The sequence below is a fragment of the Homo sapiens genome, chromosome 9, assembly GCF_000001405.40.
Source record: "Homo sapiens chromosome 9, GRCh38.p14 Primary Assembly".
Classification (NCBI taxonomy): domain Eukaryota; kingdom Metazoa; phylum Chordata; class Mammalia; order Primates; family Hominidae; genus Homo; species Homo sapiens.
The window spans coordinates 96,126,210-96,151,223 of NC_000009.12; the positions used below are offsets into that span (position 1 = coordinate 96,126,210).

General features: G+C 45.4%; 1 long non-coding RNA gene and 1 pseudogene across 1 annotated transcript, besides 3 other annotated features; both read left to right on the plus strand.

The window, feature by feature from the left end:
• Positions 574–1,104: an enhancer, noted in NCBI's record as "H3K27ac-H3K4me1 hESC enhancer chr9:98889065-98889595 (GRCh37/hg19 assembly coordinates)". NCBI's record gives its function as "activates a minimal SCP1, AML or CMV promoter by ChIP-STARR-seq in naive H9 embryonic stem cells {active_cell/tissue: H9 hESC(naive)}" and the evidence as "EXISTENCE:reporter gene assay evidence [ECO:0000049][PMID:30033119]".
• Positions 2,489–3,012: an enhancer, noted in NCBI's record as "NANOG-H3K27ac hESC enhancer chr9:98890980-98891503 (GRCh37/hg19 assembly coordinates)". NCBI's record gives its function as "activates a minimal SCP1, AML or CMV promoter by ChIP-STARR-seq in naive H9 embryonic stem cells {active_cell/tissue: H9 hESC(naive)}" and the evidence as "EXISTENCE:reporter gene assay evidence [ECO:0000049][PMID:30033119]".
• Positions 3,654–6,020, plus strand: LOC112268039 (uncharacterized). The gene is made up of 2 exons (XR_002956870.1): positions 3,654–3,945; positions 5,436–6,020. It is a non-coding gene; the product is annotated as an uncharacterized LOC112268039 (long non-coding RNA).
• Positions 11,158–11,452: an enhancer, noted in NCBI's record as "tiled region #13927; HepG2 Activating non-DNase unmatched - State 4:PromP, and K562 Activating non-DNase unmatched - State 21:Repr". NCBI's record gives its function as "activates a minimal TATA promoter and a strong SV40 promoter by Sharpr-MPRA in HepG2 and K562 cells {active_cell/tissue: HepG2 | K562}" and the evidence as "EXISTENCE:reporter gene assay evidence [ECO:0000049][PMID:27701403]".
• On the plus strand, positions 19,771–21,756 carry EIF4BP3 (eukaryotic translation initiation factor 4B pseudogene 3; annotated as a pseudogene).

The following is a 25,014-nucleotide window of genomic DNA, read 5'->3' on the forward strand; positions in this document are numbered from 1 at the left end:
CCATGTGATTTCAATTTGTTCTTACACAAGCAAGGAGCAAATACTACACTTTTTTTCTCTTAAAAGCAACCTGTAAAACAAAGGTGCTGGGAGGACGCAACTGAAAAGAATGTTTGCACCCGGCTGTCAGGGGTTGTGTTTCTCGGCAGGCAGCCCTGTTTTCTGTTGCAAGCGCTATTGGTTCTATGCATCAGCAGAATCCATTTCAGGGTGCAGACTCCTGGCAAATCCTCGTGGCATTTGGGGCTTTCTGCCATTGGGAGTGACTGTGTGTATAGGAGTCCCTCCTCCCCAACGTGTGACTGAGCGCCAAAGCCCGCCATGGGTGCATTTGCAACTTCTCAAAGGAAGTAAAGACAGCCCTTAAAAGGAACCAGTGCTTGTTCTTGGGATGTTTACAGTGAAGTAACCCCTATGTCATTTTCCCTCGCAGGGAGGTCTTTCCTTGATTGCTAATAGTCTGTGTACTTTAGCCATGTGTGGCGCAGCCCATGGCCGCGGCCCGAGCAGCCAGGCCCCCTCCGCCCCGCAGCTTTCTTTCAACTGCACAGAACACAGCGAGGCTGTGCCGGCCTGGCCCACCCAGGGAGCCGCCACAGAGTTCTCATGCAGGGGACCTCCCGGCAGTCTCCCCTCTCCCTGACCAGCCAAGGCCCGCCGTTCCCCTCGGAAATGGCTCAGCGGCCCTCCTGACCTCCTGCTCAGGACACCTTCTTGCACCTTCCACCCCAGGTCTGCGGCATGGCCACTGTACAAATCCTTCCCAAGCCTCTTCTAAGCAAGTGGTTCTCTCTTGAAGAGCTCAGGGGAGGCCCAGGGAAGATAGTGGGCAAAGGGGTGGTCACCAGAGAGAGTGGTCTTTAACCTCGCCGCCCCACCAAATGGCACTGGCCCCTCCAAGAAAGGTGCCCTGGGGAGCTGAAGATCTCTTGGAGGGATTGGAAAACACCCTGGAGGCCTGTGTGGCAGCCTGGAGCTGAGGGACAAAGTTGGGAAGGAGGGGCGGGCAGGCATGGGCCAAGCAAGCTGGTCTGGCTCTAAGGACTATGGGGGATGAGATTTACATTTCACTCAGGAAATGGAAAGTGGGTGAAGGAGGAGCAAGAATGGGAGCAGGAAGTCTCTGGAGGACCTCCAGGAAGAGAATAGGCACACGGATGAGGGTGTTGGTCCTGCCATGTTCCAGGAGCTGGTCTGATCGCTGCCCTCTTGGCGCTTACATTCTAGAGGGGCTGAAAAACCATAAATCAATAAAGAATACAGAAAAATTTCAAGTTGCAATAAGTTCTGTGTATAAAAACTAGTCAGAGTGAGGGGTAAGGTGAAGGCAAATGCTCCTTCTGTGGCCAAGTCTCAGCAGCATAAGTCAGTGCTTCCCAAAGTGGCCTGGTGATAAGGTCTATGGAAACTCAGATTCTGGGGCTCTGACTCACCAAATCAGCAGGTGCCTGAGGGGACCGGGCAGTGTGGACACTTATCAAGTGTCCCAGGTGAGTCTTGTCATCAGATAAGTTTGGGAAACAGAGACACGAGGACCATGCTCAGATAGATCTGAGCTTTAACGTAGCTCCTCCTCACTCTCCTAAGCCTCGCCTTCCTCACCTGTGAAATGGGAATCCTAACAGCGCTAGCCTCAAAGGGTTGTCAATGAAGATTAAGGATAAGAGGTAGATAAGCCATTTTGCAGAGTGCCTAGCCCACAATAGGGGTGGTAAAATTTGGAGAAAGGGTTCTCTACAGCATGACTGGTAATACTTGATTACATTTCATCAAGTTGATGAGTCTACACTAAAGACCACTACATATGTTTCACACCTTGGAGTCAAAGTCTCTCTTTCCCTTGCTCCCCAAGCTAAATCAAGTGACACTGATCCCACATCTAAATAGTTCTTCATCACATGGCTCATACTCCAGCCTAAGCCATCTTCATCCCACCCTACCCTCCCTGGCCACCTCCAAGCCATCCATTCTCTAAACCATAGCCCTGCTGTTGTTTCTCGTTGGATTGGATTACTCTCTCCCTTAGTTTAACAGCTTTCCCATTGCCAACATCATCCTCATGGCTCACCAAAGCTCACCTTGATCTGTCTCCAGCTTCACCACGAAAATCCTATCCCGGGAGTTCTCAGTTGCGACTTAAACATGACTTATTTGGGAAGCCTTTGATCCCCCTCGGATATGTTCCCATTGCAACCTTCTGTAAAACCCATCAGACTTGCAATGAATTTTCTATTGTCTGGCTTCTCCATGAAATGGGAAGCTCCATGAAAGCTAGGGTAGGTCCTGTCCTCTTAGAGACATGGTGGTGTATTGGGATTAAATTAGATAATAAGGGAGGCCTAGCATGGTAGGTAAATCATTAAGGTTGCGGTAATGCAGAGATGCAGACTCAAGTCGAGCTGTTAATTACCAGACTTCCATATGCATGGTCAGTGCTAAGAGATATCTATTTTTTTTAATTTGTTCAGGGAGAAGTGATGGTAATTGATGCATGGTGATTGATCTATAATGTCAGGCTACATCTACAGCCACATCTACAGAGACAGCGATAGAGCCAACCTGTACCCTTCACGCTTGGGTGTCAGGTGTCCTGGGTGGAGCAGTGAGGGAGAGGAGGATGTGCTCAAATTCCCACAAACAACCAACAGAAGTTTCACCATTAAGAAAAGTGGGCTACGATTATCTGCAAATCACTCTTCTAAAAGACCAAAATGGAGCAGGCTGTCACCCTGGTACTTACCTTTTGCCCTCATACTACTGCCTGGTCAATGTACTTGCTCAAAATGGGCCACTGGTATCAGGAACAAAGCCCATCACAAAGTAGTTTATGTGAATAAGCATAGGAATCCCTGGGGACTGTGTTAAAATGCAGATTATAATGCAGATGATCTGCAGTGGGCCTCAGGCTCTGCATACACAGTTTGGGGTTGAGTGTGGGGTTTCCAGGGTTAGCCAGCTTGTGATGCAGTGGGAGGGACTGGGACCCCGGAAATAGGGCTTATTTCATCTATAAAACTTTTCTCCACTTCCTATCTCCAGGTCTTCACAACTGTGGGGTCAGCCACCCTCACCTCAACCAGGACTGGTAAAAATAGGCTCACATCCTGCTCAGCTTTGATCCAGTCTCCACGCCTCCTGAGATCGAAATGATGTTTCCAAACTTTATTAGCTTTCCATAGCCTTCCAGACTCTCCTGTTGTTGATTTTTACAAAGAAAATAAGCAAACAACTGGAAGAAAGGGAGCTGGTTTACATGGATAATTCTCTTCTGTTAGCTTTAAAATTGTGGTGGAATTTCTGCTTTAGCTCAAAATACCTGCTGACCTTATTCTCCAATTTCAGTGCTGGAAGCAGACCCTTTGCCATGCAATCCCCACATTTGGTGAACGTGTAGAATTGTAGGCCAAGATGTTTGTGTTTATGTCCCAAACCCAGAATAAATAAATAGCTACATGGTATTGAAATCACCTGTCAAAATACCCACTGCAGTTCTGGGCACAAAGAGAAGTCTCTTGGTGTGATTGGCTTACTTGCTTGAAGAATTCAAAGGCTGTTTATCTCATTTAGTTTTCTTTTTTTTTTTGTAAGACCTATAATTACTGCATTTTGACCCTAAGGCAGCCAATTACTTCACAAAAGCCCGCTCCAGGAAACCAGACATTAGCCTGACTAATTAGGCTGACATCACTCACAAACTGCTCTCATCACAATGCAGATGGACCCAGCCCCAGAAGGTCCTGCCCGTCAGAGGTGACTGCGGGTGGCATTGCGTTGTGTGTTGTGTTTTGTTTTTTACTACTTACTTTTATGTGTTCCTTGAAGCCCAGTCCTTCTCCCAGAGTCAGACTCTCATCAAAAAGAAGGGGCTCTGGGACAAACGGGTCTCCTTTATTGCGGGAGAAGGAGGAAGCTGGAAAAAAGAAATAAGAAAGGAAAGCAGCGGAGGTTGTAAATTCTTTCTAACATAGGAAATCATTCTTTGCCCGTTAGGAAAAGGGTTTGTTGTTTCAGCCGCTCAGGCCCATTTCCTTGCCCCTTTTGTCCTTGCACATCTTGGGGGTTAACTTCTGTTTGGGTTCTGCGAGGCTGAGCAAATTAAGGGGGGGAAATGTCCCAAGCATGTAGAATTCCCTCCCTCTAAAGAATAAGACGCCTCCTGAAGGGGTCCTGTCAGGTGGGTTACAAAGTCATCAGACCCCTTCTACCCACAGAGAAGTGGATAGAAAGGTGGCACGTGGGGTCTGAATAGGAAGATGGCGCATGGGGTCTGGGTAGGAAGACGGTACATGGGTCTGGGTTAGAAGATGGCATGTGGAGTCTGGGCTGGAAGATGGTGCATGAGGTCTGGCTGCTTAGCATTCAGCCAAGCCAGAGATCACCAGCCTGGAGGTCAAAATCTCCCTTGATCTTTAAGTCCAGGATGTTCCAGCAATTGAAACAACAGTCTACAGATAGAGAGGTTTTCCAGGCAGAAGGGGAATGGGTGACTCTCTTCCAGGAGGGCAGACTAGAGGGATCCCCTTGACAACACACCACAGGATGCCTTGGAAGACCAAATGATGGTGATTTGGTTTGGGTGGGTCTCAGAAAGCAGGATGTGGCCCCAGTCAGCTCAAGTCAGCTTTCCATAGGGGTCCAAATGGCCTGGGCAGTCAACTCTTTGGACTCAGACCTTACGGTATTAAAAAATTATTCTCACACTTGGTAAAATATAAGGAAGACTTGATTCAGGATGATTTCTGTAGATGTCAAGACTATCAAATGGGGGAAAGAGATGGGGCACAACTCCGAAGGCAAGGAAGAGAGCTAGGGATTTACAGCTGATGAGCAGAGTGAGAGGTCAGTGGTTGGAAAAGTACTAAGAGAATTGTTGCTATGCTGACTTAACAGGATTCTTGCTGAAGGCAGGCAAGGGCGATCAGATGCCAAAGGTAGGGGATGAGGAATTTGAGCAGTTATCAAATTCCTTAAGAATGATCAGGCATCGAGGGTGGTAGAATTCTCTCCAAACTGACTTAGCAGGATCATTGCAACAACTGGGCAAGGCAGGTTGAAGGCAGGACTCAAGGATGAGGCCTCACTGAGAAGAGGGATCAGGGAGCCCAGCTAAAGTATGGTCAAGGAGAGAGCCTATGTCAGTGGAAAGTTGCAAAGCAAAAGGCACAAGAAGCACCTGGACCCTTTGCTTCATGGTTTTAAAACAAGGACCAGAAACAGAACGAAGCAGCCCTGAGCCGGGAGGGGTGGGTGTCTTTGGTGTGCATGTGGCTGGGCAGGGGTGCTGCTGGCCTCAGGATGGCTCAGTGGCTCTGGCACCGTGGCCCACTAGAACACAGTGGAAGGCATAACACAGCAGGGGAGGCACAGGCCTGTGGGCTCCCGAGGCCAACTCTCTCTCTCTCTCTCTCTCTCTCTCTCTCTCTGGCCCCCTACAGATGAAAAAGTCAAGATAGACCGGGCACAGTGGCTCCTGTGTGTAATTCCAGAGCTCTGGGAGGTCAAGGCAGGCAGAGATCACTTGAGCCCAGGAGTTCAAGACCAGCCTGGGCAACATGGCGAAATCCCACCTCTATAAAAAATACAAAAATTAACTACTCGGGAGGCTAAGGTGAGAGGATCACTTGAACCTGGGAGGCAGAGGTTGCAATGAGCCACGATTGTGCCACTACACTCCAGCCTGGGTGATACAGTGAGACTTTGTCTGAAAAAAAAAAAAGAGAGTCAAGACATTCTGTGAGGAAACTCAAAGCACTCAAAGCAGCCAACAGCATTTGTTGCTGAACCAGCCGTGAAAAGACGGAAAAGCTTACTCAACTCTACCTTGTATGGCAGTTTGAGAATCCCAGAGGCAAGTTCCCAGAAATGTACAGAAAAAGCCAAGAGCAATGCTTCCTATGCATTCTTGTTCAATGGTGTCTTAGAGGGATGAATAACTATAAAATGGTGATTCCAACACTTTGAAGGACCATCTTAAAGGCAAACTACCTAATAAAATTCATGTTGCATGGTTTGGCGTTTCAGCAGATCGCAGTCTTTCTCACCGAGTTAACCATTTTCTCAGGGTGAGTGGGCTGAGCCCCGCAGGGCTTACAAACGTGCATGTGTATGGTGTCTGTGTGCGTGTGTGCATGTGTGTGTGTGTGTGCGTAACAGAGAGAATTTTTTAAAAGAGGTAACTGTGACTCTAGAAGTAGAAAATGGACTTGTGCCAAATATTTTTTTTAATTAATTCGAGAACAAGGAAGATGTTAGAACTGGTTCAAAGGAAAAACCAAAGAACAGAGACGTACATAAACCACAGATGCAAGTAGCTCCTTCCACAATGCAGGAGGGAAATCCAGTTATCATTTTGGTCCATTTCACAGTCTTTCACAATTTTCCCTCCTTTGCAGTAAACACATGTGCACACACACACACACGGGCACACTCTCCCACCTCCATGCCTTTGTTCATGTTGGTTACTTTTGAACAAAATCACTCTCTCCTGTCTTCTCTGCAAGTCCAAATATGACGTGCCCGATCTACCCCTAACAAGCCAGCATCTCTAAGGGTGGGACCCAGTACTCTGCATTTCCGACATGCTTCCCTGGGTGCATCTCCGATGCAAAGCCTTTGGAAACCCAAAGTAAGGAATGCAAGTTCAGCCCCTCGGGGTTCAGGAAAGGGAGACTTTCACATGCACTGGAGTTATGAGGAAATGCTTCCTACAGGAGGCGGGTTCCAGACTGGAGCTTGAATGACGGGCAGGATTTGGAGAAGAGAGGCGAAGGCATTTTAGGGAGTTGGAAGGCATGGAAGGAAGGGCAGGGGAGTCAGGATCTGCCTGGGGAAGCCAAGTTTCCACCCCAAGCATGAAGGAAGAAGGGAACATTGGGCGAGTGCGGCAGACACAGGCCACAGAGGACCAAAGGGTGGACAGGAGGGTTGGACCCAGGCCAGAGGTAGTGCACATTTTTTTAGCAGGGGATTAAAATGAGAACAGCAATGGTTTTTAAAAGGCTTTTGGGGAAATCGTATACAGCAGAGGATCTGCTCCCTGAGGACAAGCAGGCAGGAAAACATACTTGACTCCTGAACGTGCCCCTTCAATTTAGTCTGGGCCTTGTGACTTATAAAAGGCAGGTTAAGGAGGGTGATGCTCATTCACAGAACAAGAAGCAGCCAATTTCCTTAAGCGGAACTGCGGAGAGACTGAATATACAAACAGGCAATGCTCAGACCGAATGAAAACTCTGACCCACCATCTGCAGCAACCAGACCAGGAAACCAACCCGTGACCTATAGGAATCAGCCCAGAAAGCCAGCAACAATCTACACGTCAGACCACTATCTCTGGCAACTGGCCCAAGAGGCCAAACAATAACCTCTGAAACAACTAGCCCAAAAAGCCCAGGACTTGACTAATAACTGACAACTTCCCTAATTTTTGTCCCCACTCCCAACTTAGGAGCAGACCAAGAAAGCCAAATATCCTCCTGAGCCAATCTCATAGGATGAGATCTCACTTCTGGTTAGCCCACCTCCAGCTTCCCAGGCCAACAGCCTCCTACCAGGACACACCTGAAGCTCTCGCTTGTTTCCACTATAAAGCTTTCCCACTCCTCTGCCTGCCTTTGAGTCTCTGCCAAATACAAGCAATGGCAAGCTCTGAATAAATAGCCTTTGCTTGTTCTCTTTGGGTGGTCTTCATTTCCACACCACAAATGGTCATCTTCATCTCAGCTCAGCCAGCACAACATGTTTACATCCACAGACCTACTAATTTCAACATTCAAGGTTATTTTTACCATTAATTTAATGTGCTTCATCATAGGTGGAAAATTATAATGGACATTTCTCATTTCTATGTACCATATATCCCATACATAAACAAAATAATTCCATCAGGCAGCAGTGGTTAGTGAAAAAAAAAGTGGGAACTTAGAAGAAGACATGGGTTCTAGACCCAGCTCTGCACCATTTGTGTGTTTCTTGGTCAGTGTCTGACTTTCTGGGCATTTGTTTCCTGTTCTGTGAGATATAGACATTGCAGTTGATAATGACTAAGGTTCCCTGCAGTTCTAGCCATCTGTGATTTTATAAAGCATAAATCTCTTATCCCAGTACTTCCTCACTACTCTCAAAAATCAGAAAGTTCCTATAAACATGATTTTTTTTTTTCGAGACGGAGTCTCGCGGAGTGCAGTGGCGCAATCTCGGCTCACTGCAAGCTCTGCCTCCCAGGTTTACGCCATTCTCCTGCCTCGGCCTCCTGAGTAGCTGGGACTACAGGCACCCGCCACCACACCCCGCTAATTTTTATGTATTTTTAATAGAGACGGGGTTTCACCGTGTTAGCCAGGATGGTCTTGATCTCCTGACCTCGTGATCCGCCCGCCTCGGCCTCCCAAAGTGCTGGGATTACAGGCGTGAGCCACCGCGTCCGGCCTATAAACATGAATTTTTAAGGTATCTCCATCCTTCATAGACCAGGTCTTCACTAAGTTCTTTCATTTATATTTTTTTTCCCAAATGTTTCAGAATTGAATAGGGAAATGGATGAAAACTTCTGTTTAATCGGTTCTAGAAGTTTACCAGGTACCCACTCTGAAATTCACAGCACTGACTTATTTGGTGGCTACAAAGAGATTGATGACTTGTTTTGTGCCTTGAGGATATTACACACTAATTGGAGGAATACAAAACCTGCATTTGTAAATCTAACCAAAAAAAAATGCCTATTCCGAAACACGGATCTGGACAAGAAGTAAAACTGGTGAGTAGAGGAGGGAGAGAAATCACCGAATTACTGTCTTGGGGAAGGTGGAATTTGAGCTGAATCTGGAGGACGGTACTATTTGGACAGGTGGAGAAGAAAAAGAGAACAGAGGTCATTCGAGGGAGAACAAACGGTGTGAGTCGGGAAAGAATAAGGTGCATTCAGAACACCACAGTAGCCTCATCAGACTGAGTTCCATGAAGCCAGAGAAGTAAATACAACAGGAATTGTGACTTTAGGTTGAAATGCACAGAGCTGCAAATACCAGGCTGAAAGTTTAACTTTTCTAATCATTGCTTGGCACTATTTCAGTTTTCCATTCATCCTTCTGTTATTATTTTACTTAAATGTGTGGTAAAACTGACTCATCTTTGGAGCCAAAAGAAAAAATATAGTGAGTGAGAGGAAGTATTTGACAACGTTTGCCTTTTTTGTGTGTGTGACCCTATTTACCTCTAGTAATGCTTTGTTTTTAATTGTGGTAAAATATCCATAACATAAATTTACCATTTCAACAATTTTTAAGTGCACAGTTTAGTGATATTAACCTCATTCACATCTTTTTGTGCAACCATGACCACCAGTCATCTCTAGGATTTTTTATCACCTCAAACTGAAACTGTGTCCCCATTTGACACAAGCTCCCGGTTCCCCCGTCCCCAGGCCCTGCTCATCACTGCTCGACTTTCGGCTGCTGCGAATTTGACTATTCTAGGGACCTCAGGTAGCAGAATCATGAAATATTGAAGCTTTCATGTCCAGCCTGTCTCCTTAGCATGTCTTCCAGGGTCATCTATGCTGCAGCGTGTGTCAGAATTTCATTCTGTTTTAAGGTTGAATGAAGTTTCATTGTGTGCACATGCTACATTTTGCTCATCTAGTCATCCACTGATGGACATTTAGGTTGTTTCCCTTTTTGGTTATTGTGAATAATGCTGCTATGGGTGTACAAATATCCATTGGAGTTCCTGCTTTCGATTTTCTGGAGTATATACCCAGACCCAAAATTGCAGAATCACCATCACAAAGATCCTTATGCTGCCTCTTTATAGCCACACTTGTCTCTCCCCATTTTCCTACCACCACCTTAACCCTTGGAAACCACAACTTGTTCTTCATCTCTGTGGTTTTGTCATTGTAAAATTATTGCCAGGTGCAGTGGCCTGCATCTGTAATCTCAGCTACTTGGAAGGCTGAAGTGGGAGGATCGCTTGAGCTCAGGAGTCTGAGACCAGACTGGGCAACACAGACAGACCCCATCTCTATAAAAATATATTTTTATTTAGTATAAAATAAAAATAGAGTCTCAGCTATTCAGGAAGCTGAGGCAAGAGGATCCCTTGAGCCCATAGTTTGAAGCTGCAGTGAGGCAAGTGAGGCACGATTGTGCCACCGCACTCCAGCCTGGGCAACAGACAAGATCCTGTCTCTATATAAAATCAAATCCTGCAGGCCAGGCATGGTGGCTCATGCCTGTAATCCCAGCACTTTAGGAGGCCGAGACAGGCAGATCATTTGAGGTCAGGAGTTTGAGACCAGCCTGGCCAACATGGCGAAACCCCTTTTCTACTAAAAATACAAAAATTAGCTGGGCGTGGTGGCTCATGCCTGTAATCCCAGCTACTCAGGAGGGTGAGGCACAAGAATTGCTTGAACCCAGGGGGCCGATGTTGCAGTGAGCCAAGATTGCACCACTGCACTCCAGCCTGAGCGACAGAGTGAAACTGTCTGAAAAAAATAAATAAATAAAATCATGCAGTATGAAATTTTTGAGGTTGTCTTTTGCACTCAGCGTGATTCCTGAGAGATCCATCCCAGTTGCTGTGTGCATTGATGCTGCTTTCTTCTTGCTGAGAAGTAGTCCATGGTGAGGATATTCCACAGTTTGTTTAACCATTCATTCACTAAACGACATTTGGGTTGCTTACCATTTGGGGTTGTTACAAATAAAGCTAATTTAAACATTCCTATACCTGAGTTTCTGTGGACATAAATTTTAATTTCTCTGGGATAAATGCCCAGGAGTGCAGTCATTGGGCCATATGGCATGTTTAGTTTTACAAGAAACTGCAAAACAATTTTCCAGAATGCTTATCCTATTTTACACTCCCACCAGCAACATGAGAGAGATCCACTTTCTCTACATCATCACCAGTAGCTGATACTGCCACCTTTTTCAAATGTTAGCTTCCCTAATAGGTGAGTAGTGACATCACATTCTGATTTTTTCAGAAGGGTTTATATTTGCTATACATCAGTTCACCTACTTTGCATTTCTTCCTCTTAGCCCTGCTTTTAATAAAGAAAACTCTTTCCACATTGTCTTCTCTTTCCTCACTTGATTATTCTTCGTGGGAATAAGAGAATTAAAGGAATGTGGAAAAGTGTTTCTCTTGCATTATATTGTCCTAAGAAGCCTCAGTTATCACTTGCTCTTACCAGTGCTTTGCAGTCACCAGGAATGGTAGAAAGCAGCGGCTGGCCAGAGGGCTGGCAGAGGCGGGGCTGTTCTTTGTGCTTGTTTATATTCATTTTCTAGTCACAGCTCAAGTTGTTTCACTTTCTGCTGCTCAGGGAGACGAGGGCAATGTAAATGTGCTTGCTGTTGTTTAAGCCTCCCGGACAGTAAAAACAAAAGCGGCCGCACTGCCTTTCCCTAAATAACATCAGAAACCCCTTTGAGAGCTCGTTGAACAAGATTTACACATTTTAAAGAGTTTTGAAGTTAGAAGGGGTCCTAGGCGAGGCCCTCGGTACACATTAATGATGTGCCTACTGTGTGCCTTGCTCCAGCACGGTCACCCAGTGCTGGGTTACAGATCTGCATAGGGATAAGTTGCAGTCCCTCCTTCCCACACTCTGCCAAGTGTTACAGAGAGGTGTGGGCTAAGTGCTCATGCAGAGATGTGACAAGCCACTGTTGGGGGTCTGGAGGATCCCACAGCTTACTCACTGCTCAGGAACTGAGGAACTCAGCCATCAACTCACCCAGAGCCTCTCCAGCCTGCCTGAGGCTGAGAATCATGTGGGGCACCAGAGGAAAATAGAAATTCCCAGATCCCACCCAAAGGACCTGGATCAGAATCTCTAGAGCAGGGACACAGGAAGCTGTGCTTTAGAGCAAGCTGTTCATAGGTGTTATGAACTGAATTGTGTGCCTGTCTCCCCCATTCATATGTTCAAATCTCCCCCTAGTGTGATGGTATTGGGAGGTGAGGCCTTTGGGTGGTAATTAGGTTTAGAAGGGGGCATGAGGGTGGGGCTCTCATGATGGGATTAGTGCCCTTATAAGTAAAGACACCAGACACAGGCAACACAGAGATGACCACGTGAGCACAGAGCCAGAAGGCGGCTGTCTGCAAGCCAAGGAGATGGGCCTCGGGAGAATTCAAACCTGCTGACACCTTGATCTCAGACTTCCAGCCTCCAGAACCCACATAGTGAGAAGACAGTCATGTGCAAGCCAGGGGGCAGGCCCTCACCAGGTACCAAATCAGCCAGCACCTTGATCTTGGACTTCCAGCCCCCAGAATTGTGGGAAGTAAATTCCTGTTGTTTAAGCCACCCTGTTATGGCAGCCTGAGCTAACATATTGACTAATACAATATGACTCTCAGGATTATCCCAGTTGAGAACTGTGCGTGCAATCCAGCCCTCTCATTACAGGTGAGGGAACTAATACAGCAAGGTTAAAAACCTCATCCTATGTCCCCACACTAGTTAAAGGCCTTCTCTAACTGCTAGACCAGTTCCCATTACACCCACTCAAAGTAGACAAGTAGTTTTCATCTGAATGCCAGCTCTGGCTGATGGTGGTGGCTGCCAAGAGGACTGTGTCAGGAAGGATTCTGAGGACAAGTCCAGGCTCAGCTGACCTTAGCACCATTGCTAGCCATCAGAACACAAGAAACATTATGTATTGGCAGGGAAGCTGGCACAGAGGATCCAGCTACCCAGGTTGAATAACGTGACAAGTGTCATGAGTGTCACTCATTGAGGACAGTACAATTTGAAACGTGGTTCATGGGCCGGGAGCACCAGCATTGCCTGGGAGCTTATAAAAAACTTAAATGTTCAGGTCCCACCCAGACTACTGAATCAGAATCTCTGGGATTCAGATTCACAAACCTGTTCTTATATACCCATGCACACTACAGTTTAAGAAATCCTTGGGCACGGCGTCTCACGCCTGTAATCCCAGCACTTTGGGAGGCCCAGGCAGGCAGATTGCTTGAGCCCAGGAGCTCAAGATCAGCCTGGGCAAGATGAGGAAACCTGTGTATATAAAAAGTACAAAAAATTAGCCCTGCATGGCGGCCCCTTCCTGTAGTCCCAGCTACTGGGAAGGCTGAGGTGGGAGGATCACTTGAGCCCAGGTGGTTGAGGCTGCAGTGAGCCATTATCACCCCGCTGCACGGCAGCCTGGTTGACAGAGCAAGACCCTGCCTCAGAAAAAAAAAAAAAAAAGCAACCCTGCCCTAGAAAATAAGGACAATAATATCAGTGTCTCCCCATGGTGACAAGTGTGTCCTCTGCCTGGCACCTCTGAAAGTTTGCTTCCCCTCTGGCTGCATGTGGAACAAATGGGACCCTTCAGAGACGTCCTGAGAATACCAGGATGTTTCTTCCAGCCCTCATCTCTCATAACCATTTTTAAAATGCCAGGGCTGTGTATTTTTAGTTGAGGACATCTGTATTTGCCAGCTCCAAGCCCACCCCTAACCACGTGGCCAGCATTGTGCAACTACTACACATCTTTATGACAAACCCTTCCATTTTCTGTTAAGTAATGTGTTTGGAAGGCTGAGTGAATCAGAGACAGTAAGCATTTGATTGCTTACATTATTCTGGTTCAAACATGGCTCGCGGCCCGGGACTAATTTATTTATGTTGGTATGGTACATTTCTGTTTCCCTTGGGAATTTGCCAGCACCCCATCCCCTCTTCCAGCTGCTCTCCCTTGGCCCGCCCACCCCTCTTGCCACTTTTGTTCCCGGTCTGCCTCTCCTGTGGGTGGAAAGTTTGTGAAGGATGCCCCATCAGCTGCCTCCAAGCCAGAGACTCCCCTCTCCTGCGTGGTTGGCTATTTCCCCGCCCACCCACAGCCTCAGGCCCAACAAGGCGGGTGGGACTTCTACCTCCTGGCAAGGTCAGCGTTTCCCACCAGGGGCTCACTTAACCCGGTGGATGCGGGTCTGGGGTCCTGCCAACGGGGCACTTGAGGAAAAGACAGACAGGGATCAAGACCACCTACCCTTTCTCTGGAGTCACCAGACCTACACACTAAATCTGCAGCGGGTTTTGCTCGCCATCACCCTGGGAGGTGGGAAGAGCAGCCCCCGACGACGTGAAAGAATCAGTATCCTATTACAGGTCCCCGAGCCAGGCCCCCATTTGCAAAGGCAGCCTGTTGTGCATATGGGATGGAAAATGCATCCTGGCAAAACACAAAAAGTAAATATTTAAAGGGAAAAAAAGCGCACACAAGGAAACAAAATGCCTTGCCTTTCTGCTTCCACGGTCCGCCGCCAAGTCACCCCCGCCCTCGCCGGCTGGTGTGGAGTGTGCCATATGGTTTGGGACAGGGATTAAACCCCTCCGTGGTTGTGAAAAACATCAGTCCATTTGGTCTGGCCTTTCTCTCCCTGCATTTGTTGTTCATTTGCGAGTTTCTCACACCCCTGGGCCGACTGCCGTCAGTGTTTACAGGTTTTAGATTGCTGGTGGGATGGAAATCACCAGCCACCCAGCGCCTGCAGCGGATGTCTCCAGGAGGAGGCTCACGGGCCCCTGAGGGGCGCTGCAGAACAGAGCCCGTGACATGCATGACACAGAGGAGCCCACTTTTTAACGCTTCAGTGATAAATATTTCCCCCAAAACTCGGGGCAAACATAAAGAAGGATTTAGTGTCGACCGTCTCCACCTTGGCCTCCTCCTGCAGTGCTGTCGAAGTGGCGTCCTGAAAGCCGGGGGCCTTGCCCGGAACAGGGAGGCTTGGGCTGCGGCCAGGGGAGGCACCAGCAGCTGGAGCACACTAGACCAGAGCCGGCCAGGACAGAGCCTGGCCCGATCTCCCTCGGAGGTAGAACTGGACCCCCTTCATGCTCAGGCTGAGGAGCAGGGTAATAAGTTGTCATAAGAAATGAATGAAAGTATTTCATGCAAGGCCTGACGCTTCCTCCCCCCGATTCTGAGATGGCAGCACAGCACCCATGTGTGATCTGGGGAGACAAGCGGAGATGCAAGGGAACGCTTTTCCCACAAAAGAAGCCCCGATAAGCATCTCCTGTGTGTCCAGATCAGGCTTCCAAGTTTTTCTTCCGTCGCAGTTTCCCACCATCCCTCTTTTTTTTTTTTTTTTTTGCTTAGTGACATCACTAGAGACGGAGCCACATAGAGAAAATTCCCTTCCCTTCTCATTTCTCACTACGCTGAATCCGAGTCAGACAGGCGCTCTGTTTGATTTGGGCCCTGTCACTCATTTGGTGGGTTGTGGGAGATTGCTTAGCAGCAGTCACAGGCTCCTTTCTGCTGCGGATCGATGGGTGGGCTAAGGAGCCAATAGATGTGTGTTCATCTTTGAAGAGAGATGAAGGCACAATACAAAATCATCACATTTATTTTCTGCAGCTTCTAGCCTGGGTTCACAGAGAGGTTGTCACCCTTCTGATTTGGAAGTTTCCTGATATGGAGGTGGATGAACTATACTTCTTTATTGTAATAAATCATGCCTTGACCTTGAAGCAAAGGGCTTTAGGGACCTTAAGAAGTCATTTTTCCCCACCCCATCCCTGACTCCGCCCTCACTTCTGGTCCTTTGAGTACTAACTTTCAGTTTAGACATTTATAGGACCTTTCTATGTGTCACAATATTTCTAGAGTGATTAACACATACCACGGTTGTGCATGAGCCCAGAAGTGACTGTTCACAGCTGCACCCTTGAATGCATCCGAGGAGAGGCATGACCTCTACCCTATCCCATCACCATGAGCCAACCCCACAAACATGGCTACATAGGAACGGGACAATGTACCCCAAAATAAAGGAAGCCCCGGAGTGGGTATGAGGGATAATGAAGGAGAACTCACAAGAAATGCCCCAGGGCAGAGAGGGAAGCCCCACATTCATCACAGCTGGGAAGCAATGACCTCCCTGATGTCACAAGGGTCAAACAATCTTCACTGCAATACATATCAAATAGAAATGAAGCACTAAGTTTTTAGAAGTACTAACATTATTTTTAAAGCTATGAGTTCTTCTCAGAGTAGTTTTGACAAACCTCATAGGTTTTGATATGACGTATTTTTCTTTTCCTTAATTTCTAGATAATTTATCATTTCAAATTTGCCTTTTTAAATTTTAATAGGTATAGGTTGATCATCTTTAATCTGAAAATTCCAAATCCAAAATGCTCCAAAATCCAAAATTTTAGCATGGTTATACAAACTTGTAATCCCAGCTACTTGGGAGGCTGAAGTGGGAGAATGGCTTGAGCCCAGGAGGTCAAGGCTGCAGTGAGCTATGATTGTGCCACTGTACTCCAGCCTGGGCAACACAGCAAGACCTCAACTCAAAAAAATAAATCCACAATTTCTGGACACTGACATGATGCCACAAGTGGAAAATTCCACACATAAGTGCTTGACACAAACTTTGTTTCATGCACAAACTTATTTAAAATATTGCATAGATTTACCTTCAGGCTATAAAGTGTATATAAAGCATAAATGAATTTTGTGCTTAGACTTGGATCCAACTCCCAAGATATCTCATTATGTATATGCAATTATTTCAAAATCTGAAACACTTCTGATCCGAAGCATTTTGGGTAAGAGCTACTTAGCCTTTTCTCCCAGGTCATTTTTCCAAAGCACATAACAGTTCACACTCGACCAGCATCTGGTGAGACATCACTGTCCTCTCACTTTTACTAGCACAAAACATCATCAGTATTTTTAGTATTTTTATTTTTTGCCAACCTGATTGGCAAACAACTGAGTCTCATTATTGTTGTAATAAACATTCTCTGCAGTACTAGTGATGTTGGGCATATATTTAAATGTTTGACAATCATTTTCATTTCAACTTCAGCGAATTACCTAATTTCCAACTTTTTCCTGCTTAATGATTTCTCAGAGGTTCTCAATATTAGAGATATTAATCCTCTGTCATGTGTTTCAAATATTTTCTCTAGTCTCATCATGTCTGTCAATATTTTTGTGTTGTCTTATGCCATGCAAAATGATCAGATTTTTTATGTAGTCAGATTTGTCAGACTTTTCCCTTAAGACTTTTTGGTTTTCTGTCTTGTTTTTTTTTTTTTTTTTTTTTGAGACAGAGTCTCATACTGTTGCCCGGCTGGAGTGCAATGGCACGATCTTGGCTCACTGCAATCTACGCCTCCTGGGTTCAAGCAATTCTCCTGCTTCAGCCTCCTGAGTAGCTGAGATTACAGGTGCCCGTTACCACGCCCAGCTAATTTTTCGTATTTTTAGTAAAGACAGGGTTTCACTATGTTGGCCAGGCCTGTCTCGAACCCCTGACCTTGTGGTCAGCCCGCCTCAGCCTCCCAAAGTGCTGGGATTACAGGCATGAGCCACCGCGCCCAGCCCTGTCTTGCTTTAAAAGGCTTCCCCTCCTAGAGGTTAAACAATATCTTAAATCCCTGATTAGAATTGGTCTAATCAAGTGTCACTTTAGAAAGTTTTATATTATGACATTGTCTTTCTCTATAGCAAGGTCAGCAAACTATGACCCATGAGCCAACTCTAGCCCATCACCAGTTTTCACAAAGTTTTATTGCAACACAGCACACTCATTCATTTACATATTGTCAATGGCTGCTTCTGCCTGGCAGAGCTGAGTAGTTGTCATAGAGACCCTATGGCTTGTATAGCTTAAAATAGTTTTCATCTGGCTCTTTACAGAACAATTCAGCCAACCTTTGCTATGTGCAAGGTTATGAATGTCTCCAAGGTCTTTTGACTGTCTCTTTATTTCTTTACATCTTATTTTAGCTCTTTCAAGAATGTTTTTATCATTTTTCCTCATTTTAAAAGGAGGATAATGATAGTACCTATCTTATTGTTGAAAGATTAGTTAAGATAATTACCATAAAATGCCTAGCACAGTGCCCTGGTTCTCAAAAATAACAGCCATTGTTTTATGCTGGGACAAAGAGGTGCAATAGACAATAAGACATAATTCTTGTTATGCTGAATGTCTTAATCACTGTAGATTTTCTTTATTTTTAAATCATCAGCTGGCTTATTAGAATTACTTTTCTGGATTATAAATTGTATACATTCTAGAGATTTTGGAACATTTGTTCTAGAGATTTTGGAAAAGAAATAAAGTAGGAAAATTACAACTAAAACTAAAATCTCCCCCGATTCCTCCACCCAGAGAAACCAGTGCTACTATGTTGATGTATATGTAGTGTGGTTTGTTTCAGGAGGCATGTATGCATACATGCGATGTGTGTTAACAGCTCCATAGTATTTGGGTACCAGAGACATCACGTTTCTTCTTCTAAATCATATCTAAACCTGGCTGAGCCTGACAAGGCCCGTGTCAGCTATTCTGCGGCTCCATCCTATGCCTTCTATTGGATCCATTCAGAACCCTGGGCTATCGTGCTTCTGGGGAAAGGGGCTGACATGGTCCCTGCTGCAGGATGGTCACTGCTATTACAGTGGTACCATCACGTAAAGGCTCTGCAGCCACTGGACAGCAGTCCTTCACCATCTGTAGACACCCCACCCAAGATGGCATGAAGACCCCTCAAAGAAGAGGTCACCCCTCTGCTGACTGTTGACTGAGCCCCAAAGACCTCTGCTGCTATTCCAAAGCCACAGCATAATTACCCACCCCAGCACCCACTACCTGGGGTCATGCCTCCTCTCCACCCTGTGTGAGCACAAGACTTCTCTCCTCTCACCAGTCTTGGGGTGTCTGTCCACCCATCGTCTCCCAGTGGGGCACTCGGTCCCTGCAACTCTGGAAGCACAAAGTTCCTCCTAGTTTCTCATCATAGGACTGAGCTCTCCTAAGCAGAGACCCACACAGTCCCTGGAACAATTTTTTTAAAGACTGTTAAATTTTAATCCCCCCTCAGAAGAGGAGCCCCATCTCAAGAGAAAAAAAGGAAATACTTCTTTTTCCCTCGGTATGTCTATGCAAATAAAATAAAATTTAAAAGACACTACTAGTTGACAATTTGAGAGGATACGCTAACATTGTTTTACAGCCTACTGTTATGTGGTCTTAATATTAGATGTGACCAATAATTGTGAGATCCCATAGATTCTCATCATATCTAATCAGTGTCACAACAGTGGTATGAACAAGGCAAGACCTGTCATTTAACTTGATAATTAATACCTGATTATTCACTTTCAGGTCCAGGTAAGCATTCTGAATAGAACATTGAATAAATCTCCTTTTGTGTTTTGTTTGTTTTGTTTTGTTTTGTTTTTGCTTTTTTTGAGACAGGGTCTCACACTGTCACCCAGGCTGGAGTGCAGTGGCATGATCACAGCTCACTGCAGCCTCAACTTCTGGGCTCAAGCCATCCTCGCACCTCAGCCTCCCAAGCAGCTGGGACTACAGGTGTGGTTAATTTTTTATTTTTGTGGAGATGGGGTCTCACTATGTTGCCCAGGCTGATCTTGAACTCCTGGACTCAAATGATCCTCCTGCCTCAGCCTCCCGAGTGCTGGGCTTTTAGGCATGAGCCACCACACCCAGCCTCCTTGTGTGTTTTAATATTAAATTCTTCAGCCAGTTGATAAATAAATAAATTATTACCAATAAGAGTAGTTACATGCAGAAATAAATATAGTTTGTGAAAACCATTCATCTCACATAAAAATTATTAACAACTTTCCAATCATTAAGTAGGGAAATACGTCACTAATACAAATATTAAGAAAGAGTGTTAGCTAAGTAACTTTAGAAAGAACTCTGTTTCCTTTTAATGCCAATAATCATTTATAAAAATTTCGGGCTTTTTGCGTTCTCTTTCCCTCTCCCAACACGGCGGCCTCAGCAAAAAAGAAGAAGAAGAAGGGGAAGACTATCTCCCTAACAGACTTTCTGGCTGAGGATGGGGGTACTGGTGGAGGAAGGACCTATGTTTCCAAACCAGTCAGCTGAGCTGATGAAACGGATGACCTGGAAGGAGATGTTTCGACAACTTGGCACAGTAACGATGACGATGTGTATAGGGCGTCTCCAATTGACCGTTCCATCCTTCCCACTGCTCCACGGGCTGCTCGGGAACCCAATATCGACCGGAGCCATCTTCCCAAATCGCCACCCTACACTGCTTTTCTAGGAAACCTACCCTATGATGTTACAGAAGAGTCAATTAAGGAATTCTTTCGAGGATTAAATATCAGTGCAGTGCGTTTACCATGTGAACCCAGCAATCCAGTGAGGTTGAAAGGTTTTGGTTATGCTGAATTTGAGGACCTGGATTCCCTGCTTAGTGCCCTGAGTCTCAAGGAAGAGTCTCTAGGTAACAGGAGAATTCGAGTGGACGTTGCTGATCAAGCACAGGATAAAGACAGGGATGATTGTTCTTTTGGCCGTGATAGAAATCGGGATTCTGACAAAACAGGTACAGACTGGAGGGCTCGTCCTGCTACAGACAGCTTTGATGACTACCCACCTAGAAGAGGTGATGATAGCTTTGGAGACAAGTATCGAGATCGTTATGATTCAGACCGGTATCGGGATGGGTATCGGGATGGGTATCGGGATGGCCAACGCCGGGATATGGATCCATATGGTGGCCGGGATCGCTATGATGACCGAGGCAGCAGAGACTATGATAGAGGCTATGATTCCCGGATAGGCAGTGGCAGAAGAGCATTTGGCAGTGGGTATCGCAGGGATGATGTCTCAGAGGAGGCGGGGACCACTATGAAGACCGATATGACAGACGGGATGATCGGTCTTGGAGCTCCAGAGATGATTACTCTCTGGATGATTATAGGCGTGATGGTAGAGGTCCCCCCCAAAGACCCAAACTGAATCTAAACCCTCGGAGTACTCCTAAGGAAGATGATTCCTCTGCTAGTACCTCCCAGTCCACTCGAGCTGCTTCTATCTTTGGAGGGGCAAAGCCCGTTGACACAGCTGCTAGAGAAAGAGAAGTAGAAGAACGGCTACAGAAGGAACAAGAGAAGTTGCAGCATCAGCTGGATGAGCCAAAACTAGAACGACGGCCTCCGGAGAGACACCCAAGCTGGCGAAGTGAAGAAACTCAGGAACGGGAACGGTCGAGGACAGGAAGTGAGTCATCACAGACTGGGACCTCCACCACATCTGGCAGAAGTAAGTCAGCCCAGGATGCACGAAGGAGAGAGAATGAGAAGTCTCTAGAAAATGAAACACTCAATAAGGAGGAAGATTGCCACTCTCCAACTTCTAAACCTCCCAAACCTGATCAGCCCCTAAAGGTAATGCCAGCCCCTCCACCAAAGGAGAATGCTTGGGTGAAGCGAAGTTCTAACCCTCCTGCTCGATCTCAGAGCTCAGACACAGAGCAGCAATCCCCTACAAGTGGTGAGGGAAAAGTAGCTCCAGCTCAACCATCTGAGGAAGGACCAGCAAGGAAAGATGAAAACAAAGTAGATGGGATGAATGTCCCAAAAGGCCAAACTGGGAACTCTAGCCGTGGTCCAGGAGATGGAGGGAACAAAGACCACTGGAAGGAGTCAGATAGGAAAGATGGCAAAAAGGATCAAGACTCCAGATCTGCACCTGAGCCAAAGAAACCTGAGGAAAATCCAGCTTCCAAGTTCAGTTCTGCAAGCAAGTATGCTGCTCTCTCTGTTGATGGTGAAGATGAAAATGAGGGAGAAGATTATGCCGAATAGACCTCTACATCCTGTGCTTTTCTCCTAGTTTCTCTCCACCCTGGAACATTCGAGAGCAAATCAAAACCTCTATCCAGACAAGACAAAATAAAATTCACCATCTCCTGAAAAAAAAAAAATTTCAGTAATACGGAGGAAAATAATCACTAGATTATACTATAATTCTAATATTTGATGAATTATTTGAATGGGTGCATTGATAATATTAACTTAAACAAACTTTAAGATCTACATTTAATTTTCAGTTCCTTAATTTCACATAGGCCATTAGTCTTTCAAGAAAATATTCTGCTTAGATCAAGCTTTTCCAACCCACAGCCAGCAGGTTGCATGTGGCCCAGGACGGCTTTGAAAGTGGTGCAACACAAATTCGTAAACTTTCTTAAAACATTATGAGATTTGTTTACGATTTTTTAAGCTCATCAGCTATCATTAGTGTTAGAGTATTTTATATGTGGCCCAAGACAATTCTCCTTCCAATGTGGCCCAAGGAAGACAAAAGATTGGACACCCCTGATTTAGATATTCTTATCTATAAATGGCAAGCAGCATATCATCTTTGTCACCTCAAAATTTCATAAGGAGGAAAATAAGTCCAAAATAATCGCAACAGATACCTGGAAAATTATGATTGATCCAGTTATAACAAAGGGTATAAAAGGATGAAGAGGTACTCAGGAAAAACGTGGCACCCACAATGTACATTTTCACTAGCCAAATTCAAAACAATAGAATTCACATGAATTCTTTCAAAACACATTTCAGTTCTGTGGAAACCAAATGTTTGAACAAAAAGCTTCTCAAAATGTTACCCACTGACAACTGTATTCAGTGGATGAAGACAAAGAACTTTTGTAATTTACTCAAGTGATCAGGTACAAAGTTCTTTCCAGAAACCATGTTATCGAAATGCTTTCTTCCTGCATGACATGCTGCTGCATGCACAAAGTTTAATGGTGTTATTAAATGTGCTGCTTTTGTATTCTTTCCATCAGTTTGACAGCCTGGTGGATTAATGGTGAGGCTGAGTGCGCTCATCTTTATTTTGCTGCCAAGAGGCTTTGGTTCTTCCCAGTAAAAGGAATCTTATTGGAGAAATATTTATGAAATGAAAAGTCCATCAAGTAAAGTGTTGGGCAATTGTCTCCAGCAATGGAACAAACATGGTGATGGCTACAAGTGACTTGGGAATCACAAGCGTCCTATGATTTGTTCACACTCTTCAGCTGTGTGTTGAGAAAGCAATAATGGCACAGAATTGCTGCCTGTAATCTCCAGCAAGTGGGCTGCTTTCATCATTCTTTTTTATCCAAAGATAAACTACATGACATAGAAAAGATTTTGGAACCGGCTTATCATGTAATTTTACAAAATGTTCCAATAAACTGGAACAGTAGCTATTCCGTGTTCAAAGGCTGCTTGAAGAACAAAAAAAGTCTTAAAATTGTACCATGTGGGAAGCAATGCCAATTTGGCATAAGATTGCTTGCAGAGAACGCAGCTCATTTGCTGGAATGTGCTGAAGAAGTGACCTACTCCATGGACTTTGGGAGGCAAGCACTTATTTTCTTCTTCAGCCTGCTTTAGACCCTCCTATTTTCCTAGCCGGAAAGGTGCTGGGATTAACTTGCTTGCAAGGAGCGCTGAGGAGCATGGACATTTAGAGACACAGTGTTAGCTTAAAAGCCTATTCCAGTGCTCCACTGTTAATTTTTAGATCCAACACTTGAGGACAATTTTTCCCTCAAATGCATGCAAATTATTGGAAATGAAGATGACTGAGGAAAGGCAGCAATCTGAAGACTGCTGCTGAAGCGTCCAGAAGGCTCCTCGAGCAGAGCACGCAGCTTCTGTTTCCGGGGCTGCTGCATTTCCTGCAACCCCATCTTCAAGTCCAGGTGGTAGGGAAAGGAGAACACTTGATGTTAGCAATTGCAATAGTCCCCCGTTATCTGCGGGAACAATCCAAGACCCCCTATGGATGCCTGAAACTGCAGATAGTATGGACCCTACATATACAACACAGGTTGTCAGACAGCACGGGTGGTTCACGTTCCCACTTGAAAACGTTTGAAGTGTGAAACCATTTGTTTCTCCCCAGTGGGACCCTTCCTGACGCCAGGACAGACTTGGCCTCTTGGGTTAGTGTCCCTGTGATACCGATCCTTCTGCAGGGATGTTTGTCTAGCCCTCACCAGACCCTTGCAGTAATACCTAGACTCTTTTAACGAAACCAGGACCAAGAATACAGTGTTCAAGGGGTGAGAACTCAGGTATACAGACGAACAACTGTACTACATTTTTCCTTGTACATAAATACCTATGAAAAAGCTTAACTTATGAATTAAGGCTAAGACACTAAGAGATTAACAACAATACCTAATAATAAAATAGAACAATGATAAAAGTATCTGTAATAAAAGTTATGTAAATGTGGTCTCTCTCTCTCTCCCAAAGTATCTTATTGTACTGTACTCACCGATTTTCAGACCACAGTTGACTGTGGGTAACTGAAACGGCTGAAAGCAAAACCACAGCTAGGGAGACTACTGTGTCTATGTTTAGAGCAGCGTTTCTCTACTGTGGTTGGCACTATTGACATTTTGGACTAGGTGGTTCTTTGTTGTAAGGGGCTGAGTGTCCTGTGCATCATAAAAAGCTAGCAGCACCCTTGACCTCAACCCAGTAGATGTTGGTCCCAACACTCCCCCAATTTCCAGACATTGCCTAATGTCACCTGGGGGGGCAGAATCACCCCTAGAACCACTGGCTTAAAGGAAGGAAAGCTGACTCACATGCTACATTTACTTCTTACACGGTAACCCACCGTGGCACCCGTCCCATTGATCTGCTTCAGGCACCAGCATCTTCTGCGGAATCTGGTGCTGACTAAGCTAGCTACCAAAGCATATTGTACGGCCCCACTGGTTTCTTGGAAATGGACTTTTGTTTCCACTGCAGATCTGAAAACAGTGACCACAGGAGCACCCTGCCCGGTGACGGTGCTGAGAGGTCACTGTTATCACACTATAAATATTAAGCTTTAAAATGTCACTGCTGGGTACAAACCTCTGGTCTGATAGAGGAAATAAGACCTGCTGTTTGATAGATCAGTAGGGTGACTACAGTCCACAATAATCTAGATACATTTCCATATAGCTAGAAGAGACTAATTCAAATGTTTCTGGCATCAAGGAAAAATACATATTTAAGGCATGGATATTCCAAGTACACTGATTCGATCTGTATGAATTACACAAATATATAAAATTACCACTTGTATCCCTAAAATATGCATGTCTTATGCATCAATTTAAAAACAAAAAATCAGATACAATTTTAACTACTAAAGTTCTTAAATGAAAAC